At 37.1% G+C, this 23978-nt stretch overlaps 1 long non-coding RNA gene across 2 annotated transcripts; it reads right to left on the reverse strand.

Moving 5' to 3' along the window:
* Positions 1 to 33: 33 nt before the first annotated feature.
* Positions 34 to 23238, reverse strand: LOC105378850 (uncharacterized). 2 transcript variants are annotated; one of them, XR_001738147.2, is made up of 3 exons: positions 22852 to 23238; positions 17537 to 17613; positions 34 to 286 (listed from the first exon to the last, which is right to left on the reverse strand). It is a non-coding gene; the product is annotated as an uncharacterized LOC105378850 (long non-coding RNA). The 2 variants fall into 2 exon arrangements; XR_947590.3 differs by lacking the exon at positions 34 to 286 and adding an exon at positions 11853 to 12420.
* Between the last annotated feature and the right edge of the window lie 740 nt (positions 23239 to 23978).

Here is a 23978-nt window from a genome sequence, read left to right on the forward strand (position 1 = left end):
ATTAGCTTTTGCTATGTAGCAAACACCCAAAACTTAGTACTTAAGACATTTATTTAGTTCATCATTCTCAGGGAGGGGGCTGGGTGTTTATTTGACCTGGGGTGGCTGATCTCTGCTGGACTCTTTCAAGTACCTGCAATTAGTTGGCAGGCCAGCTGGCAGCCAGGTGATCAAGCATGGCCTTACTCATATGTCTACAAGTCAGCAGGCTTTCACTTAGCTGCACCACTCATCTTTGACCATCCAGCAGGCTAACTCAGGCTCTCTCTCACATGATGGCAGAGATCTAAGGACAAGAGAGGACAAATATCAATGTACAAGCAGTTTTTAAATTTCTGCTTACGTCACATTTGCTGTTACCCACTGGCCAAAACAAGTCACAGTCATATGGCCAAGCCCAGACCAGTGTGAGAGAGGAAGACCTAAAGGCAGGCAAAGCATGGACAAAGTGGGGTATTTACCGTAAGAATATATCACATTGTTTTATACTGTTGCAGTAATATATCACATAAACAATGTGGAATGTAATATATTATATTACAAATAATGTGATATATGTGACATACATATATGTATATTATATATACATACATATATGTATGTATATATAATACACATATATGTATGTATATATACACATACATATATGTGTGTATATATACACATACACTTATATGTGTGTGTATATATACACATACACTTATATGTGTGTGTATATATACACATACACTTATATGTGTGTGTATATATACACATACACTTATATGTGTGTGTATATATACACATACACTTATATGTGTGTGTATATATACACATACACTTATATGTGTGTGTATATATACACATACACTTATATGTGTGTGTATATATACACATACACTTATATGTGTGTGTATATATACACATACACTTATGTGTGTGTATATATACACATACACTTATATGTGTGTGTATATATACACATACACTTATATGTGTGTGTATATATACACATACACTTATATGTGTGTGTATATATACACATACACTTATATGTGTGTGTATATATACACATACACTTATATGTGTGTGTATATATACACATACACTTATATGATGTATTGTATATATACACATACACTTATATGATGTATTGTATATATACACATACACTTATATGATGTATGTGTATATATACACATACACTTATATGATGTATGTGTATATATACACATATATATGTATGTATGTATACATATACACGTATACATATATGTATGTATGTATACATATACACGTATACATATATGTATGTATGTATACATATACACGTATACATATATGTATGTATATATACATATACACACATGCATGTACATATGTGTATACATGACGTGTATGATATACATGTGTATGATATGTATATATACATATCATATATGTGTATATACAAACATATATGTATGTCACTGCTATGATATGTGTATATATACAAACATTTATGTATGTCACTGCTATATGTGTATATATACATACAAATATGTATAGCACATATATATACGTATGTATACAATGTGATGCTGATACAAATATCACATTATTTGTAATGTAATATATTACATTCTTTGTAAGCCTGGTAGCTGAGTCAATAATGTTTCTCACTTCAGTAACTCACTGTGTAGAAACCAGATTTTTCCTTTTTCCTTCTGCTTTATCCCAGTCCAGATGGTCTAGCTTTGAACAAAAGTCATGAATATAGACTTCCTTCATGGTGAGAATATCCTCTGGGGACTTTGGGTATGTTTTTTTTCCAACAGAAAGATTTAACCTGAGACATCTTTGTCTATCAGAGTAGTTCTGATACATGTTGAGCATCCATAATATGAAAATCCAAAGTAAAATGTTCCAAGATCTGAAAGTTTTTGAGCTCTGACATGATGCCACAAGTAGATTCCACACATAAGTACATAACACAAACTTTGTTTCATGCACAATATTATTTAAAATATTGTGTAAAATTACCTCCAGGCTATGTGTATAAAGCACATATGAAACATAAATGAATTTTGTGTTTAGACTTGGATCCTATCCCTAAGATATCTCATTCAGTACATGCAAATTTTCCAAAATCCAAAAAAAATTCTGAACACTTCGGGTCCTAAATGTTTTGGATAAGACATACTCAAACTGTAATGGTGACTCTTAAAAATTAAAAGGTCTATATTTTAATTTATTTCTTCCTTGAAGGAAGAAAATTTGTCCTCATGCAAATTTGTCCACTCCTTGAAACTTCTTCTACAAAAAGAATTTCAAGTTGTGCTTCCTTGGGCACCTTTGAAGTAAACACACACACACATGCACACATGCACACACACACACATACACTTTCTAATTATCCCTACCTCTACACCAGGACTCACTAGAACTCAAGTAAAATTCAGTTTGAATTTTCCGAGCAATCTCACACAGACACCTACAAAAAGACAGCAGAGTGTGGTGATTAATGACATCTGGGTTGAGTCCTGACTTCATCTTTTACCAGCTCTAAGACCTTAGGCAAATTAATTGCTTGGCACCTTAGTTTCTTCTTTTGTAAAATGGTGATTATAATGCCTTCCTCATGGAGATGTTGTGAGGAATAGAATAATAATTTGATAATGCTCATTTTGAAAGAGCACTTTCAAAAAGCAGGTTTACCATTAGCAACAGCTAATATTGTTGGTCATCTAATCAGGGACCGAGAAGGGCACAGGCTCTCAGCAACGCAGTTAAGAGGTGACACCAGCTTCCTCTGCTGGGGTAAATGACTGAGAAACTCCTATTTTCTAAATATTGAGACAAGTTTCCCAATAACTGCACTGTTTTTTAGGATTTTGGGGAACCCATCCTAAGCCCTGAGCCAGGAACTCAGCCCCTGTAGTTCTTTGTATAATATATAACCCACTGACTTCTAAAAGGTTTCAAATGTAGTGACACAGGATGCTCCTGGGTCCCTTCTGAAGCACAGCCCATTTGCCTCACACAGAGTTACAAAAGTTACACCCTGTTTTCAGAAAAACTTTCCCAATACAGGCAGAGAGTTCATGTTTATTTCATAAACCTTGTTTGCTTACATGTTCCAACCATTTTACAAATACTAACTCATTAAATCCTCATAACAACTCAATGGGGTAGGTTGTATTATTACCTTCATTTTACAGGTAGAAAAACTGACGCACACGTAGGTCAAATAACCTGTCCAAGGTCATCTAGGGGAGTGGTAGAGCCAGGACTCAAACCCAGGCAGTCTGGGCCAGAATCTCTGCTCTGAACTACTAATGTGTGCTGCCTTTCTTGATGAAAGGCTATTTTTTATTAAGCAATTCCTATGTGTGTACCAAGTGAAGGATTTGTCATTTATTTCTTAGGTAAAAGCAGGATTATCCCCATTTTATAGATGTGAAAGCTGAAATTGATTGAGGCTCAGTGACTTCACCAAACTCCTATAGATGACTAGTAGCAAAGCAGTGCCTATTCTTGTAAGGACTATACTATCTCACCTCTCAAAGAAGTATTTGATAACTAAAAAACAGTGATACATGCTCTTATTTAAAGAAAAAAATATGCCACTTTTCCCCTTCTTTTTCATGGATTTACTAAATCAAGCTAAATTCAGTTTCCAGGAAAATTCATTTAATGAAAACATTAACGTATTAGAATAGGTGCATCATTTTATATTTATTATTCACTGATTAATTCATTCATTTCACAAATATTTACTTGGAACTGACTCTGTGCCAGGCACTGCATGTGTTTGATCAGATCGGTGTGCCAAAAATACACAAATCTCAGGGCTCTTTTGTTTAATGGTGATTGCAAATGTGGCTCCTAAGACACATGACTCTGGGTATCACGCCCTAGTTAATTCTTTTCCAACACATTTATTTGCAGTTGTGCAGACTTATCCAGGACAGAGTCACTGGCTTTGGACTCCTAAAGGACAAACATCAGATAGGGTGAGTGAAGTTCTCACTAGATTTTCAAGTGCTTTGTTTGACACCCGCTCGAAAGGTTTACCTTGCCCACTCAGGCCACTATGCTATAAATCCCTATCCTGTAGCCAATTGCATAGATCGTAGACATTTAAATTTGCTGTCCACTCCTGGAGAATAATTACAGCTATTTAATTATATTCATAATTTAGCGTACACCTGAAAAATATGCTGTGAAATATCGGGGGGATCCTTTAATACTGGTGTTCCATTTACAGACTGTCACATTTATAATGCGTCTTTAATCGTCTAGGGTCTGCTAGAATTTTTTATTACAGTCTGCCTTGTGCTTTAAATATTAAAGATTCGGCAATACTTCAAAAGGTGATAATGCCTGATGCTCTGATGGTGCTTAAACCTCAACGGCTAAATATATTGAGGAATGTTCAGTGGGCCTGGCTTAATTAAACATGCATGTGTATTTTCAAATGCAATCTTTTTCTGCTTGTTAGGTTTTTGACAAACCTCCAAACAGGTCCAGGTGGAACAAAGCATGTAAACAGCCTTGTGAATGGAGCTTAAAACACTCAAATTAGCACCTTCCTGCAATTAATATGCAAACCTTGGAATCTCTGCAATTGATAATGCCATTGAATACTATTTGCGGCTTAACAGTGTATCTTTGCCATTTCATTTTTTAAAAACGTGTCCAGTTTAATTATGCAAGAAGACATTGGTGACGGCTTCTTAGCCAATGAGATAGTATTTGTTTTCCGCAACTTATTCTTCTCTCTGGAACCCAGCATGCATTACAAGGCAGTGGCAGGCTTTAAATGTATCATTTATTTTCATTATATAGCACTTAAAAGGTAGCCTTCTTCTAATTCAGCATGCCGTGTCAAAGCAGCCAGACTTCTCATAAGCCCTGATACCAAATTACCTGTGGCTGTGGATACTTGAAAACTACTTAAGCAGCTTTCACAATTAAAAAAAAAATGGCATGAATGCAAAATTCCTCAATATTACTTTGGAAAAAAGATCTCTATTTGGCATTTGCCACATTTTAGACTTCTCTGAAAAGTGTGTTTCAAAGAAATTGTATTTTGTTTTTGAACATGTACATTTAAATTTTTGTCACAAGAAATGAAATATTAAGCTCAGATTTCCAATCCAAGACTTCTGGACATCTTTTCATAGAGCCATATAATATTGCCTAATATTAAAATCCCCATATAAATAACACTTTGAATAGCTGCTCATCTATCTGGAAATATTACTTACTAAAGCTACCCAAATAGAGATTGGCTGTAGTTTGAAAAGGGAACAATATGTTTTACAGATGAGCCAAAGAGACTAGATTTGAATGATTCAATCTGCTATAGAATCAACATGTAACAATTGCTGGACTAGATAAAAACTGTAATAAAAATATATACGGTAGCCTCCAATAAAAGTTCAATTATTATACTGTAATAGGTAAACTTGTGCAAAAAAAATTAAAAAAATAAAAAAGGTCTATGAGATCCGAGGCAGTATTAGAGCAATTTTCTAGGTGAGGCAGTGCTAGTGGGATATGACAGGTGAGGTATTGTTATTATAATACCTAAGGCAAAGCAGCAACCACACAAAATGATAGACAAATCTGAATTAATATGATATGATCGGCGAGGTGGCATTTGAATATAATCTTCCTGTATTGTGCAGAAGGCTGCATGCATATTATACAACAAATGAATTGTGTGGAAGGGTGTAGACAGAAGACTCAGTGGGAGGAAAGACAAATTACAGGCAAGATTTCAGAAGATATTTCTGTTTTGCTGGGTAAGAAGCACACTTGGAAATTGGATTTGTAAACAAATTAAAAACTGAGATTTTTTTCTAAAGCAGCCTTCAGTGAGTGTTGACAATAAGCACTTAACCTTGGCAATTGAAGGACTTTGAAACAAATAATTAGGGAAAGATAGGGGGGTGATGGGGAGCACATTTTAATTTTGTTTCCTGTGTTAATAATCCATAGTTAGTATTTCTATCCTGGATCTGTGAGGCCAGTAGCCATTTTAGATCCCCGATGGGAAAATGCTGACTTCCTGAGAATTTCAGCCATCTTTTGCTTTCTTGATCTACGATGACCACCTCTAATTAAAAGTCTTAATCATATCCGAACCCTGAAAGCACATAGGAGACCACAGCCCACTGAAAGGGCCCATTTTATTAAGCGACAGAAACTCTCAGAAATTTGAGCCTGCAGAAACTGTCTGCGTGATCTTTAATGGATTTTTAAAGATGACAAGAAAGGAAATGGGAAAGTAAAGCAATGGAAGGCAGAAATTCCCTGAAGGAGCATTCTGAAGTAAATCAGTGCAACTGAAAAAGTGAACTCCTAGGGCCTGGGGATATCTCCCAGGTTTTTCAGCTGGACACTTACGGCCTGTTGGGTCCCTGAACACCTCTGCTCTGGGCGGACTTTGACAGAGCAAGTCACAGAAAGATGAACGACAGCACCTGAAGTGCTGTTTGCGGGGCAGAAAATTGCTCCCTTTGCACGCTGGGCTGCCTTTGCTCTCTATCACATGACTTATTACAGCCTCTCCATATAACAGGGCCATTTATGTATGTTAACTTGGCCAGCCGTAATGGTATTCTTTGCCTCCTTTTTCACTGCTGCTTGGGCAATTAAAAACAAAGGAAGCAAATGAGGTCAGCACTCATAAAATCTGAGTCTATAGGTGACAGACATCCTGAGACCAAATAGCCTTGGATGCAGCCAGAGTGTAAGGAAACCGTGAGCAAGAAAACATCCCTGCTTCCAAGGGCTTTTGCTTAGATGCTGATTTTCTTGGGTGAAATGCTGATTTCCCAGGCTGATTTTAGTTTTTTTTTTTTTAATCAAACTAAATAAGGTACATCTTTTAAGGAGTTTGGTAAATGCTACTAATACAATTATGTGCCCATATGGAAAAGGGACATGAGTGTTCTCTTTAATCTTCTAGCACAAAGACCAATATTTTAACCTCAGAGTAGAATTTAATCTCTAGCAGCTCTTGAAATAGCAGCTCTATTGATGTCGCACAATTACAGTAAGTGTTTGAAATGTCCCATACACAGGTATACAAGGATATCTCATTCTATTTTTCTGATCCCAGGCTTGTGATCACAATGATTTTGAAAAGCTAATTAGAAGAATCTTCTTTCTTCCCCTAGACCTGATTTAAATAGCACACTGGCTCTTATTCCACATCCTTCTGCTTCTACGGTATGTATACTATACACCTTGGTACATGACATAAACACTTAAGAAGAAAAACAATTCTCAACATCAGAGTTGACTTATACAATGTCCTGACTTTACTGCTTTGCTCCCATCCCTGAAGCTGGCAATAGCCCCCACACCCTTCCCACGCCTGAGGCCTCCTGGTTATAAGAAGCACTGAGAAGGCAGCATGGGGAAGGTGATTGTTAGCCATTCTCCACCAGTGGCTGCAGGAATTCAACAAGGAAGACCTCAAGTTGACCTAATTACTTATATTTTCTTCATGTCTTGGAATATTACTCCATAGATCTTAAATGTAAAAGTACACATAGCAATTATCCCAAACATAACTCCAATTGCACAAATATTCCTAAAACTCCTGGAATACATAACCATCGGGTCCCTCTTAAGCAGAATTCATACAGGACCACTGCAGGGCTCAACAATGGCCAAGAAAACAGAATGGGACAGAATCATAATATAACATCTGGGTGTAGCTTTCTGCCTCTAGAATTAAACTGTGCCTGCCCTTCAAACACCCATACTTGAGAAGTTTAAGAAATAGCCTTAATTTTCACATATCAGGAGAGGGATATCTTTACGTTTATTACTAAATTTCTGGCCATATTTCATGTAATATATTAATTAACTTAATGACAGATTGCTTTCTGTTTTCCTATATTTTATTTCATAGTGATTTAGTTCCATACTAGATTATAAGCTTTTTGAAAGAAGGACTAAATCTTACATGGCTCTTGTCTTATGTTCAGCCAGGGTTAAGAACAACTGCTATAGACCAGAACATGATTGCACGGAGATGGGCCTGAAAAAGACCTGTCAGAATCAGATTCTGAGGGCCTTGAATAGTATGCTCATGAGCTTGGACTTAATTCTGTAAAAAATGAAGGGCCATAAAGGGCTTTTAAAATTCATGGGTGTCATGATCAGGTCTGTTTTAAAAAGAAAGTATGGTGACCAAATGGAGGATAAACTGGAGGAAGAAGAGATCATAGACAGGGAAATTCTGACAATACTTGAAACAGTCCTAGTGAGAGATAATTAAGCCTGAACAGAGCCTGTGGCAACACAGAGGAGGGGCCAAAACTGTTTAGAGAAACACTGGTTATCTACCCATGAATTATCTGTGGCAAATGCTGACACTAAATGCAAGGGTTTGAGAAATAAGGAATCAAAATTGGTTCTAGGTTTCTAACTTGGATGATTGGCTAAGGATGACACCATCAACCAGGGGTAGAGATTCTTATTAAGGATGCTCAATTGTGGTTGATTGAGTAGTCATAGGAGTATCATAGAAAAGATTAAAGCTCTGAAGAGAAGCATTAAACTAAATGATTCTAAAGAACCTTTTCAAGTTTGAAATTCTACAGCTCTCCTGCATAAAGTTATTAACTCATTGAAGGCAGGGTTTGCATTTTCATTTTTGTATTCTCCACAATGCATAGCGTTTTATAGGGGCTCAAACATATCTGATGAATGAAAAGGTATGAGATTAAAAGGACGTTTCTAAGAGGCTTCCTCACAAGCAGGGCTGTTTAAGTTTCCATCCTACTGTCGTTCTTACCTTTATTTCACATTATTCTGAACAATGCCTACAATTTCCATGTAACACAATTGCTTTTATGATCCAGTGCACAAACCAAGGTCCTTTTTCTTTATCTATAAATTTGAGCAGCTGCTGTTGCTGCTGCTGCTAATAATAATAAGAAAATAATTCCATCTTTATAGGGTTATGTGAGTCCATACAGTTGTCACCACCCAAAGGGCATGAAGGCAAGGAGACAACTGAGCACATTTCATACAAATTACTGTGGATGATGTGGACATGGCCACATTCAGCTTTCATTCAATCTTGCATAGCCAGATAAGCTCAGATGTTTGGTATTTGCTGCTCTGAATGTACTGCCAGTAACCTAGTAGGCCAAGTTAATATTAGCTCGCACTGGGTATATGTGGGTATTTTGTTGCTGTTTGGAGAAATGACCACTTTACTTGGTTATACTGACAGCTCTACTGTAAAATTTGCTGGCATTAAAGGTCAAAAAAAACCCAGTTTTCCTCTGGTTGCTTCCACCCAAAAGAGAATAAATCTGGGAGCTGAATCACTTCTCTGACAATAATTTATGAATCATGCATTGACTATGTTTGAATTGAGAAAGGCTTTCATATCCTTTCCATTAGCTCAGATTAAGTTTTCATATAGATGCTGAGAAGCATGCTAGCAATATCCTTAGCTCATTTTTATGAAAATTTTATCAGTGCTTTTTTCTGTACTACACTCCAATTGGGATGTCTCAGAATCTAAAGCTCAGCTTTGGACATGAACTTCTCTCAACCTGGCTGGCTGCTGCTCTAAAGGTTTCAATATTTTATGGGCTCTGGCTAACTCAGCCGTGAGATTCAAGCTGCAGAGATTTAACTCTAATGTAAAATCATGAACGGATGAAAACTGGGATGTCATAAGTAATACATCTACAAGAGCAGGATGCAGTTACCATTTTTAAAAGGGCTTTAAAAAGAAAACAACATTCTCTGTTCTGTCTTTATGCCCCAAAATGAAAAGCCCCTGAGCTATTGTACTAACACAGGGCCATCTTTTCTTCCCTGCTTTTCTTCAATTGTTGCTTAATTGTTGTGGTGGGCTGGGGTTTTTTCCCCTTAAGGTCCTCCCATCCACATGAAAGCCCCTAATGTCTGCATTCCAGAGAAATGGACACTGCGTGGTCGAATGTGTATAGGCCAAACCCATTTCTTAGCATCTTCCTCTTTTTGTCTCAAAACTGATTTAAAACATTTGGAAAATCTGTCTATTCAGCTGAAGTGTTCCAGTGCATTCTTTCCTGGAAACAGTGGGGTCACATGTGATCTGTCTGATGGACTTTTCTGCTGCAATCTGTAGCCATTTCCCTCGAGCCCCGCAGAGCCTAGCAAAGCCGAGGAGCTCTGTAATGGCTCCAATAACAACGTGTTCTTTGTGTGAAAGAATCCAGGGGGAAGAGCTGGAGTAGACTGGCCAGCAACAACAACAAAAAAATCATTTTTTGTACTCATTTATTTCTTCATTATGTGCTTTGCCATTAAACATTCTTCACAGTAAATACACCTTTCCGTAAAACACTGCCCGAGCACGAAAAAATACAGAAAGTTCTGTTTTTTAAAAAAGGCTGTAGTCATCATCGCTAGTTATTAATCTGCTTCTAATAAGATGGTTGATGGCAGGAACTGCATTGCATTTGTCTGTACTTGTAACAGGAGAGATGGTTTCTAGACAGAGCTTAATTTATCTGTTCGAAAATGTCACCTGATGGATGCATTGGAATAAATCCATCTTTTCTAGTTTCAAAAATATCACAAAATCAACACTTCACTAAATTAACTATAGAATCACAGAACTGGAAGAGACCAAATAAATCAGGTGGTGTGCCCATTCCCTTCAGGGAGCTGGATGTCCCACCAAAGGCAAAAAAGTGACCGTGCTGGTCATTACAGCTTCAGGGACCCCAAGATCTTTCTCAGAACCTTCCTAGTACTCTGTCATGTTGAAAGTGGCAGTTCTGCCCTTGCATTCAAGAGAAGTTTAAACTATTTTAATCATAGCCCAGCTTCTCTTGTTTAGTTAACTACTTATAACATGGAAAACAATGCTTTCACATAAACCTCCTTATATCCTTGAAGATAGTCATGAAGTTTCGCCTCTGATCTTATCTTCTGTAGGATAAAACCAGCTTCTTTAGCATATTATATAATGGGCACTTCTCATCTATTTAATCAGTCCCAGAGGGTTGTGGCTTCAAATGACACTATAATATTTATAAATTATTAAATAAATTAAAATAAGGGTATTTTGCCGACTAAATTGGCAAGATATCTATATATCTATATCTATATATGCCCATTGTTGGTATGGGTGAGAAGTGAGACTTCTCATATGAAGCCAGAGGGTGGATGAATTGGTACAGCCTATTTGGAGGACAATTCAGTACTAGGTATCAAGAATCGTCAAATATACATGCCCTTTGACCTAGTAACTCCACTTCCAGCAATTCATCCTAAGAAAATAATCAAGGATATGGGAGAGATTAAACTACAGAAACACACACACACACACACACACACACACACACACACACACACACACACAGAGAGAGCATAAAATTCGTTTTGTTAAAATAAAAAAAAACTACCTAACTTTTATTATGTACTTAGTCTATGCTCTAGGCACCAAGCTTAGCACTCTATGCATGTTATCTTATTTAATCTTAAAAACAAACCTATGGATTACTTTTTATTATTATTACCATCATCTTCATCTTCATTTTACTGGGAAAAATTGAGGCTTTAATATTTTAAATAACCTTTCAATAGGAAGTGGCTATACTGGAACTTGACACTATGTCTATTAAATGACAGAGGCTTGTAGTCTTTAACAGTATGTTATACTAGTTACACAACCATACAAAAAGACTGGAAGTTAATAATCCAAAACATTAACATTTGTTATTCTGAATGTTGGGATTACTATTTGATTTTTTTCTTTAAATTTATTTTAAGATATCTAAAATAAACATAAATTTCTTTTATTTATTTCAAGATCTCTAACATGAACATGTATTTCTTTTATAATGGGTGAAAAAAGATACTGTAACTTGGTACATCCCTCACTGACCATTTCCCATTCTGTCTCTTTCCCTCACACACACACACACACACACACACATATATGTTCTATGTAATTTATTCTTCAAACACAATTTTTTTCCAACATTCAAAATTTTTGTCTTCATCATCCTCTCTAGGGTGTGTGCCCCTCTAAAGAGGCTCTGAAAGATTCCACTAAATGTAGACGAGCCCCAGTTCTTGCCTCTGAGGGCCATATTAATTTTTCTTTTCTAACCCAGATGCCAATTAACATAGCTCCATTAGGGACCACTACTACCAAAGCAATCATATAGCCCTCAGTCTAAAAACAAATCATTCATGTAAACTCAGTCTTGTTTTTAAGCCTTGTTTATAACTGCTAAGGATGTGAGTGCAACCTTCTGTCTGAAGGTGAGATACATTTTTTCCTGTTCTATACATTTATTCATCATCAGCAGTAAGTGCACAACTGGACGTTTGCTGCAATTGCGGGGATGAGGATGATGAGGATGATGATACACGAGATCAGCAAAGCCATAGTTGATTGTGCTGCAGTCATGTTGCCTGCAACAAAACACACCATGGACTATTTTAACTTGAAAGGAAGTAAATACATATATGGGAAGGTGCCACATTTCTAGCCCTATTCTTTCAGCAAACATTTATTGAGCAAGTATTATGTGTTATGCACTGTGCTAGACAGTCTACAAAGATGAATAAAGCATAGCCTCTGCCCTAGGGGAGCTCACAGTCCGGGGGAGAGAGACTATAAACATAATTTGGGGTCTGACTGTGAAGAACCTTGTTAAAAAGTTTTGACTTTATATTTTGGGTGTGGAGACTTTATGCTTTGGGTGTGGTTTTCAGTTATGACATAATGTAAGCTGCTTACTGAAGAAGTACTGTGATGAGAGTGTAGGAAACGAAGTAGGCTCTGAGAGACCATTCTACAACTGTGGCATGTTCAGGGAAAAATTTGTGCCATTTTGAACTAGGGCAGTGGGGATATTAATATATATTTTGTATATTGACTTGGCAAGTCTTCCTGCCCAAGTTGAAATTGAGAAGGGGTGTGTACAGTGAGGGAGCAGAAATTATGGTTGTCTTTGAAGCTTTTAACTTGAGTGACAATAGATGGTAACACTATTCACCAAGAATGGGAATACAGAAGAAAAGTTCATAAGATGTTTTTGGAAATGCTAAGTTTGATGTATCTAAAGAACATAATATCAAGATTTTTAGAAAGAAATTGGGAATGTGTATCTAGAACTCCTAGGAAAATTTGCTAGCAAGATGTTTTGTGATACTGTCATACAAATGTGAATTCAACCATCAGGAATGTTTCATTTTGCATTAAGGTATTTTTTCCTACCTTTCTTCTGAACATGGAAGCCAAAGTAAGTTTCAGAGCATGCAAACCCTTTAGATTCTCCATGCTTCTGCCCTAAAATGTTGATGTAATCTGGTATGGTTTTCTAATCACTTGTTTAATTGTCTGCAAGCTTCTCAAAGGCATAGACTACAGACAATGAATTGGCTGAATGAGTCACGGTAGCATGGAGTGAGGGAATGGGAAACAAATAGATTACACAGTCTGTTTTTCCAAGAGTTGCTTAAAACTCTGCAAGCAGCAAACAAAAGAAGTGTGGCCTGCAGACATCTTCAGGGTAGGGAACAGTGAGCCCTCTTCACAGCCTCACTATACCATAGTTCCATCCTTGACCCTTGGTTTCTCCCTGTTTCTAATCCCCCAAAGCAATTCATTACCAAGCTATTTTGTTATTTCAGGCTAATATCTTCTCATATCTATATTACCACTGCAACATACCAATGACGCTTCTCTAGTCTTACATCCTCTAAGTCAGGGGTATCCAATCTTTTGGCTTCCCTGGGCCACACTGGAAGAAGAAGAATTGTCTTGGGCCAAACATAAACTACACTAACACTAATAGTAGCTGATGAGCTTTAAAAGTTGCAAAAAAAATCTTGTAATGTTTTAAGAAAGTTTACAAATTTGTGTTGGGCCACATTCAAAGCTGTCCCAGGCCACAGGCAGCCCAGAGGCCCCAGGTTGGACAAACTTGCTCTAAGTCATTATCCATACCAATACAGTATTTCTACAATGCACATCTGATCTTGTCATTCCCTTGCTCAAAACATTTTAATGGTTCCTATCTCAATCAGAGTAAAAAGCAAACTCCTTAGGCTTATGATAGGGCCTGTCATCCAAAACCCTTCTGTTTACCTCTCCTGCCCATCTATCTTACCACCTAGACTCCTTTTTCCTTCTTCCCTACTCACACTTTCTAGGCACATTAAGCCATGTATGACCGCTGGGCCTTCCCTCTTCTAGCCTCAAGACTTTAGTACATGCTGTTTTCATAGATTGGAGCCCTGTACCTTTCCTCTTATCCCCCTCAGCCTGACTAACTTCTGCTTAGCCTTCAGGTCTCTGCCTCGTTATCACACCTGTCTGCAGGAAGCTTTCCCTGATACTCCAAATCTTAGTTTTATGCCCCTATATGTCTCTTCATGGAACCCTATGGTTACTCTCATTGCAGTACTTTCCACATGGCACTGCAACAGCCTGTGGACCTGTCTTCCTCGATAGATAGTGAGCTTTTCTTCTTTGTCATTTCCCCAGCACTAAAACAGTAACTGGCCTATAATATGCTGCCTGCAAAGATCTGGTGAATGAATAAATGTCCTGCAGGGATGGAGAAAACATGAGCATGTGGCCTGGAAAAAGAGGCTTCATGCTTTCTCTATATCCTGTCTGGGTTGAGCCAGCAAATGAGGTCAATATTTAATCAATTGATCAACTAAGTGCAGTTAAACTATAGCTTCTCATACAGAGTCAGAGATGAAAGAAAATTGAAGTTGGAATTTTCCTCAGAAAAAGAGTAAGCACTGATATTTCAAAGAGAAGATTCTTAGATGAAACATACCCATCTCCCGGTTGTACTGGCAGGTGGGATGTTATTAGCATCCCTGATAAGCAACAAGATGGAGCCCAGGGCTTATGTATGTGTCTCTCTCTCTCTCTCTCTCTCTCTCTCTCTCTCTCTCTCTCTCTCTCTCTCTCTCTCTCTCTCTCTCTCTCTCTCTCTCTCCCTCCCTCCCCCCCTCCCTCCCTCCCTCTCTCTCTCTCTCTCTCTCTCCCTCCCTCTTACCCTCCACTCTCCTCTTGCCCAAGCAAAACAATCTTAAGAGAAGGGAAGTGCAATTACACAGTATCTGTTTAAAATTTAAGAGGACAAAAATGAGTTGAGGGGTTTTTTTTTTATTTTTGCAGGAAACAAATTAGCCCACAGTAGACTTGTGCCTGCAAGCAGCCCATTTAATTTGGTTATTTCCTACACCTTGAGGCTAGCTTTTTCTCACTAATTCTGCCAACCTTTTTCCATATCAGGGCTTATCTCCTTGTTGTATCCAGAATCATATGACAAGCAAGAGTCCTAGAATATTTTATCTACCTAATCATCCCACTGCCTTATTCCAGAAAGAATCTAAGGTAATGAGTCATTTTTTATAAGCACAGTCTCTCCCCTCCATTGATGCCCAATGGTTTCAGCCAGTGCTTATTAAAATTTCATTAAGCATCTAGTTAAAAATCAGTTGTTAAAGTTCATGCTTCTAATATGCTTGGGATATTAAGGACATGAACCCTAAAATGACCATACAGGAAGTGCCTGCTTGTGGCTGTCTTGTTGCAGAAGATCGTTGTGCCAGTTTGAGCTGGCAGAGGAATTTGGATCTCCATCCTGAGCTCCAGGATTATGTGCCCAACTGCCTACAGAAAATTGCCATTTGATGTCTCCATGGTCGTCTAAAATTTGAGATGCTCGAAATTTAGCTCACTATCTTACTCTCATCACAATACAGGGACTAAGAGCACAGAATCTGGTGCCAGACTGCCTGAGTTCAAATCCTTGTTCTACCACCTTACCAGCTACAAATGGGAAAATGACTTAATCTCTCTGGGCCTCTCTTTCTTCACCTATAAAATATGAATACTAATACTGCCTAGGTCTATCTTCTTTTCTCTGCATTCTTCGTGGGACAATTCTCCTCACTTTCTCCCTAGGTCTTGCTTTTCTCCAAACTCCACAGTGCCTTGTGTATGCCTCAATCATGGTCCTTACTACTCTGCATGGCATTTGTCTGTTCACTTGGCTATCTCCTCTTTCCTTTGATTTTCTTGATGATGGATCTGAACGGTATGGTTAAGATGAAAAACTCTGGAGTCATTCTGCCAGATTTCAATTCCAGCTCTATCACTTCCTAGCTGTGTGGTTTTAGGTAAGTTACCTAAACTCTCTGTGCTTCCATTTTCTTACCTACAAGGGTAATAGAAATACCTACTTCATAGGACTGCTGTGAAAATAAAGTGAGTTACTTCATGAAATGTGCTTGATTCTCTTCCTGCCACAAAATAACATAAGTAAATAGAGGTCATTATTACTATTATTATTATTAAACTGGACCTATTATTAATTGGGACCTCAAACTGTGCCTAGCAAAAAGCTGGCAACTTAAAAATAGGTATAAAGCTAAAAAAAGACACAATACCCCTACTTGGGACAGATTTAGCTCCTCCTCACTGGGCAGCAAATGTTTGCAGAGCACTTAGGCCTTGCTGTTCCACTGCTACTGCATCCTCAGGAAGGGAGGCCCTCAAGGACTGTTGCGTAAGACACTGTGCCACTTGTTGCAGAAGGAAGAGTGTGCACTTTGAACTCAGAAGTCCTAAGTCTGCCAGCAAAAACCTCCGATACTCTGGACAAATTACTTAACATCTCCAAGTTTCCTCATCTGTAAAATGGAAAATAATCATATCTACTTTGCAATCAGCATCTATTAAAGTTAGGAAAAAAAGACAATTTCTCAGCTTTATTGCAAAACCATTCTAACTAATCAAAACTTACACAAAACTCAACAGAAGAAGGTAGTAATAGTGAATGTTGGCACAATGTTAATAGGGAGGGAAACAAGGTCATTAAAGAGAGCTCCAAGTGTACATTGGAGATGAGGAATTGATATAAATCTTTTTTGATATTTTTCTGAGATCCTGGAAAGAAGGAACTTGAACAAGAAGTGTCAAGTGGAAGAGTGTTGATCATTTACAGCCTGTTCTGGTGTCTGTCTTCGATTCATTCTGGGTCGGCCTCATACAGTAGATGAACTACACATATGACCATGATTGTTCCACCTACCTTTACCCTAGGTTAGTTAAAGGGGTTGGTTTCCTGCTAGACCCAATGCTGAGCCCAGCACCTGGCATGTGGAAATAGTCAATAAGTATTTGTTGAATTGTTGCAACTTCTTTTAAAAGAAGTCTTATTTAATACAAAACATCTTTAAAATGTATTGACATCTACTATCTCTTTTATCCACTGCTGAATTTTTTAGCCTTCTAAAATTCATTCCCTTCTAGGCTACTAATGTAACTCTATAGGTTCTGTTCAAAATCGATTCTCCTTCCCTATATTCCAGATTCAACAAAAAGGTACCAGCAAATGACCAGTTGAACAGGTTTAAAACTTTGGTTAGCCCTCTCCTCTGAATTCTGGTTTCAAATATTTCAGTGTCTACTCAATATTGCTGTTTGGATATTATACCAGTCAAGCTCCCTGGAGGTAAAGCCCTTATTCTCTCCATCCTGGAAACTCCAGCTTACCTGTTGGAGGGGCTTCCACCCTCAAAGTATAGGCTTCTCTCTCTTTGCATCTCCTAGGCAAATTCTCCTCAATGACACTAAAATAAGTATAAAAATATGTGTTGGTTTTCCCCCACTAAATTAAAATATAAGCCTTATTGCTTTTTCTGAATATATAAATAATACATTCTTATTATTAGAAAGTTGAGCAAATTCATGTAATTATAAGGAAGAAAGTTAAAAAAAATTACTTAAGTCCCACCACTCAGAGACTATCATCATTAGTAGCACTATGTGACCAAATTTTCATATCCTTCTTTAGACACATACATACCATACTTTTTTATATATAAATAAGTTTGTATTATACATACCTTTTAAAAATTCAAAACACCTCTTCCGTGATCTTAATCTTTCTGTTTACTCATCTCTCCTCCTTTCTCCTCACCCCTCTCCCTCACATTATTCCTGACCCAAGAGCCAAAGTTAACATGTTGGTATACAGCCTTCCACCCTTCTTTTCATGCTCATTAGTTATGTATGAATATATAAGTACATATATTGGGCTTTGTGGTCATTTATGTTACAAAACTTAGATTACCTAACAGTTACTTCTCTTTAGCTCATAAGAAAAACTTTGTGAGTCAATCAGTATTGGTAGAACTCGTTCTTTATCAACAGCTGCATAATATCAATGCACAGCAATTTATTCAACCAATCTGCTACTGATGAACATTCAGAATGTTTCTGATTTTGTCATTATAAATAATGTTGTAATGTTCTTTTTCAAACTGCTGTATTTATTTCTAAGGGAGAAATTCTCCAAAAGTGAACTGATATTAAAATGTATGTGCATTTTCAAGTTATTATAGATATTTCCAGACTATAAGGCTCTAAGGTTGTAATACTTCAATTTCACCAGCATTGTACATTAATGGTACTCACTGATTAAAATTTTTAATTGCAGCATAATAGAAAAATGGATAAAAAAATTTACTGAAGGGCAAATACAAATAAATACAATCAGTGTTTTTCCTTCTAGTTTTCTTCTGTTTTTCTACTAGAATTAGGCTTCTAATACTCTGTCTTGCACTTACCCTTATTCTCTCCTAATTTTTCTTCTAAAATTTTTATAACCTTATACTTTATACTTAAATTTGTAACACTTTTGGGATTTATTTTTATATATAATGAAAGGTAAGAGTACAATTTGTATTTTTTATTTCTAAATAAAATAAAGTCATGCCAACATCATTTATTAAATAAATGATTCTTTTCCCCAAAAATTGAAATATTACTTTTGGCATATGACAACTTCCCATAGCCATTGGGATATATTTATTTGCTCTCTATTCTATTCCATTGGCATTTTATGCCAATACTATATTATTCTAATTACAGTGGCTCTAGGGGATTATTTAATCTATAGAAAAATATCACTGCTTTTCTTTTTAATAATTTTGTTGACTATTTTCATTTAATCTTCCATACATTCTTTTTTATAAAATTATTATTTTTACTTTGAGATAATTGTAGATTCACTTGCTGTTGTAGAAATAATAGAGAAATTCCATAATTCTTCCCATGGTAACACACTGAAAAACTGTAGTGCAATATCACAATCAGCATACTGACATTGATACAGTCAAGATATAGAACATTTCCTTCCTCACAAGGAATGCTTGTGTTGCTCTATTATAGTCATATCCGCTTCTCTCCTGCCCTCATCTGCTCCTTAGCCACTCATACATTCTAAATTTATATAATTTTGTCATTTCAAGAATGTTATATGAATGCAATCATGCAGTGTATAACCTTTTGAGATGGGACTTTTTCATTCAGCTTAATTCCGTTAAGACTTATCCAAGTCGTTGCCTAAATCAATGGTTCATTCTTTTAAATTGATAAGTAGTATTTCATGGTTTCAGTGTACCAAAATTTGCTTAATCATTCATTGTTGAAAAACATCTGGATCATTCTCATTTACAGGATATTACAAATAAAGCTGATATCAACATTTACATACAGGTTTCTTTGTGAATGTATGTTTTCATTTCTCTAGAATAAATGCTCAAGAGTGTAATTTCTAGGTTGTATGCTAGTTGCATGTATAGCTTTATAAGAAATGAGCAAACTATATTCCAGAATGCCTATACCAGTTTACATGCCCACCAGCAATATATGAGTGACTCAGTTTCTCTCCATTCTTGTCAGCATTTGTGTTGTCACTATTTTTTGTTGCAGCCATTTGGATAGATGTGTAGTAATATCTTATTATGGTTTTAATTTGCAGTTCTCAAATGGCAATAATATTTAACATCTTTTCATTTGCTGTTTTCCATCGACATATCTTCTTCGACATATAGTGACATATATGTGCACATCTTTTGTTCATATATTTTGTCCACTTGCTTCAGCAACATAGTTGAAAAAGCTATCTTCCTCCACTAAATTGCTTTGGGACCTCTGTCAAACATCAGTTGGGCATATTGGTTTGGGTTATTTATTTCTGGTTTCTCTATTCTGTATTAATTAATCTCCAGGTCTAGCCCTCTGCCTAAATATCACACAGACTTGATTACTGTAGCTATATAATAAGTCTTGAAATCATGTAGGCTGATTTCTCCCACTTTACTCTTTATTTTCAATTTTGTTTTACCAATTCTGGTTCCTTTATCTTTTCATATATGTTTTAAAATAATCTTTCTCACATTTAGAAAAAATCTTAGGTTAAACCTGTTATCAACTGCGGAGGACCAACACCTTTACTATGTTGAATTTTCCAATCCATGAATATGACATGTCTCTTCACATATTTGTATCTTCTTTAATATCTTTCATCAATGTTTTATATTTTTCAGCACACAAGTTCTTTACATATTTTGTTAGAATTATGTCTAAGTATCTAATTTTTAAGTGACCCTAAGTGGTATCATTTTTAATTTCAGTAATTATTTTAATTTCAGTGTCCATGTGCTCATTGCCAGTACCTAGAAATACAGTTAACTTTTGTATATTTATACTATATTCTGTGACCTATCTAAACTCATGTAAACTTTCGGTTCTACATGGTTTTTTTGTAGATTCTTTGGGATTTTTCTATTAAGACAATCATGTTATTTGCAAATAAGGACTGATTTATTTCTTCTTTTCTGATACTATATTAGTCCATTCTCACACTGCTATAAAGAACTATCTGAGACTGGGTAATTTATGAAAAAAAGAGATTTAATTGACTCATAATTCTGGAGGCTTAAATGGAATCATGACTAGGAGGCCTCAGGAAACTTACAATCATGGTGGAAGGCAAAAGGGAAGCAAGCAGGTCTTACCATGGTGGAGCAGGAGAGAGAGAGGGAGCAAGGTGGAAAATGCCACACTTAAAACCACCAGATCTCATCACAACTCACTTACTATCATGAGAACAGCAAGGGTGAAATCTGCCCCCATGATACAATCACCTCCCACCAGGCTCCTCCTTTGACACATGGGGGTTACAATTTGAGATGAGATTTGAGTGGAGACACAGAGCCAAACAATATCAGATACATATATCTTTTGTTTTCTTTTCTTGCCTTGCTGCCCTGGCTAGAATTTCTAGTACTATGGAGTAAGAGTAGACATTCTTTCCCTGTTGCCAATTTTAGAGGAAAAGCCATTCAGCCTTTTACCATTAAGTAGAAGTTAACTATAGGGTTTTTATAGATCTTCTCAGTCAAGTTGAGAAATTTCCCTTTATTCCTATTTTTCTTAAGAGGTTTTACTATGAATGGGTATTGAATTTTGTCAACTTTTTGCATCAATTGATATGCTTATGTGATTTTTCTTCTTTAGCCTATTAATATGGTATATTACACAATTGATTTCAAAAGTTGAACCAGAATTATATCTGTGGAATAAACTCCACTAGGTCACAATATAAACTTTATTTGATATATTGTCTAATTCCATTTGCTTTTTTTTTTTTTTTTTTTTTTTTTTTGAGATGCTGTCTTGCTCTGTTGCCCAGGCTGGAGTGCAATGGCGCAATCTCAGCTCACTGCAACCCCCGCCTCCCGGGTTCAAGTGCTCCTGCCTCAGCCTCCTGAGTAGCTAGGATTACAGGCATGCACCACCATGCCTGGCTAATTTTTATATTTTTAATAGAGACAGGGTTTCACCATGTTGGTCAGACTGGTCTTGAACTCCTGACCTCAGGTGATCCACCCACCTTGGCCTCCCAAAGTGCTGAGATTATAGGCGTGAGCCACCACGCCCGGCCCTATTTGCTAATTTTTGTCAAAGATTTTTATGTCCATGCTTCAAGATGGCTGATCAGGGGAATTTCATGCTCTCACCCTCCAGTAACAAGAACTAAGATAATGAGTAGATAATCATGCTTCAAATAGAGTATCCAAGAGAGAACACCAGAATTCAACAGAAAAGTGACAGGCAATACCTAAACAAAAAAGGAGAAGGTAATGAGGCAGCATGCTCGGCTGGGACCAGCTGGGAGCCGAGAAAGACTCCCCAGCACAGGGAAAGGGTAAGTGAGAGGCCCTCAGTGGCTCACATTCTCACTGTGGACTCCTGCAATCCTAGCTACGAGAGAGTCCCTCTAACCTTCATGTGACCTGAAACTAACATAGGGACCTTCTGGGGAATTGTACAGTGGCACTGACCCAGGGAGGAGGCTCACACTTAATTCCTCACATTCCCTGAGACCTTAGCAGCTATCACAAGGTGCCCATTTTAGAACTCTGCCCCAACAAGCTGAGATGTTTCCTTACATACTGGCAAGGGTGGAAGTCTAGGCTCCTTACTTAGCCTTTGCTGGTATGGATGTGGGTGGTGCCACAGTTTTTTCTGTGGCATTTGGCTGAAGCAGTTGTGATGATTAATTTTATATGTTGACTTCACTAGGCCAAGAGGTATCTACAGATTTCGTCAGATATCATTCTGGGTGTGTTATGTTTGGATTAGTAGAGTACAGAAAGCAGATTTCCCTCCATGGTGTGAGTGTGCCCCTCCAACCAGCTGGAGGCCTACGTAGAAAAACAAAAAAAAAGCTGACCCTCTAGAGTAAATAGAAATTCCTCTTGCCTGACTGCCTTCAAAGTAGGACATAGTATTTTTCACTATCTTAGACTTGAATTGAAACATTGACTTTACCTGGGTCTGAAGCTTGCCAATGGAAGGTCATGGAACTTGTCAGCCCTGAATGAGCCAAAACCATACATATACACATATATGTGTGTGTGTGTGTGTGTGTGTGTCTGTGTGTCTGTGTATACATTCTCTGGGTTCTGTTTGTTTGGATAATCTTGGGTAATAGAGTAGTTGTTATCTAAACATACCTTGTCCTGCTATCTTGCTCTTTTCTGGCCCCTTTGGCTAAAGAACAGGCTTTCACTGGGACTTTTTCCATCTGGGTCTGTTGGAAATTTCTTGGTTGATGGCTTCTTCAGTTACAAGTCTGGAATAAAGGAGGCAAAAGAAAACCCATTCTTGCCTTTCAGAGTCTTCTTATGTTTGTTTTATATATAGTGTCACGGTTTTCAGTTGTACTTAGTGGAAGGAATAGAGAAGTATGTATCTACTTCATTTTTCTGGGAGTTGAAGTTTCCCATATCTTCTTTAAAGTCATGTTATTCAATTTAAAACATTGGGACATCCATTGAAATTGCATTTAATTCATGTATTTAACTCTGGAGACATCTTGTTCCTGTTAGGAAGAAGAAATGCATGCTATTTGAACACAAAACACCACAAATGTTCTGTACACTCCCACAGTGCTTAATACATTGCTGAGAACATAAGAGGCACCCCATGAATCCTTGCAGTTTCATGTGTTCATCCCTGTCTATTCAATTATCATTCTGATCATGCTTCTTTAATCACTTGTCTACATTAACATTTACTAAGGCAATCATTTGGAAACAAGTTCCTGGAAAGCTTCATCCAGTGGGGTTTTACACAGTTTCTTTTCATACATACTCAGAACAAAAAATCACAATGAAAACAGTAGAACCAGAAACATGGAAATTTTCTACAGACAGTCAGCAATAAAATAACCTCCCATCCAGGGAGGCTTGATAGTGTAGTTACCTCTGCTTAACTTCCAGGCAGGGTCCCCAGAGGTCTCAAGGGATACAAAGATGTAAGAGTATTGACTAGAAACGAACAGAATAATTTGGGGACAACTGCTACAACATGGAAGTCAGTGAGTAGACTTTAACTCTCACTTTTATAAGTAGTTCTGTAATAACACTTCACTCTCTCACTCCTTAAAGGCAGGGCTCCAGCTTATTCTCCTTTTTTACATTTTCTGTGTGTCTTCCAATGAAATGATCTGACACATGTAGTTTGGGTTCCTGAGCAAAGATCCTTCTGCAGAGGCCTAGTATGTACTAGTTTGTCTCTTCTAGAGATAGAAAATGAAACTCTCATGTATCTATTCCCTAGAACATGAAAACCACCACTT

Source organism: Homo sapiens, chromosome 1 (assembly GCF_000001405.40).
Source record: "Homo sapiens chromosome 1, GRCh38.p14 Primary Assembly".
NCBI classification, from domain to species: Eukaryota; Metazoa; Chordata; class Mammalia; order Primates; family Hominidae; genus Homo; species Homo sapiens.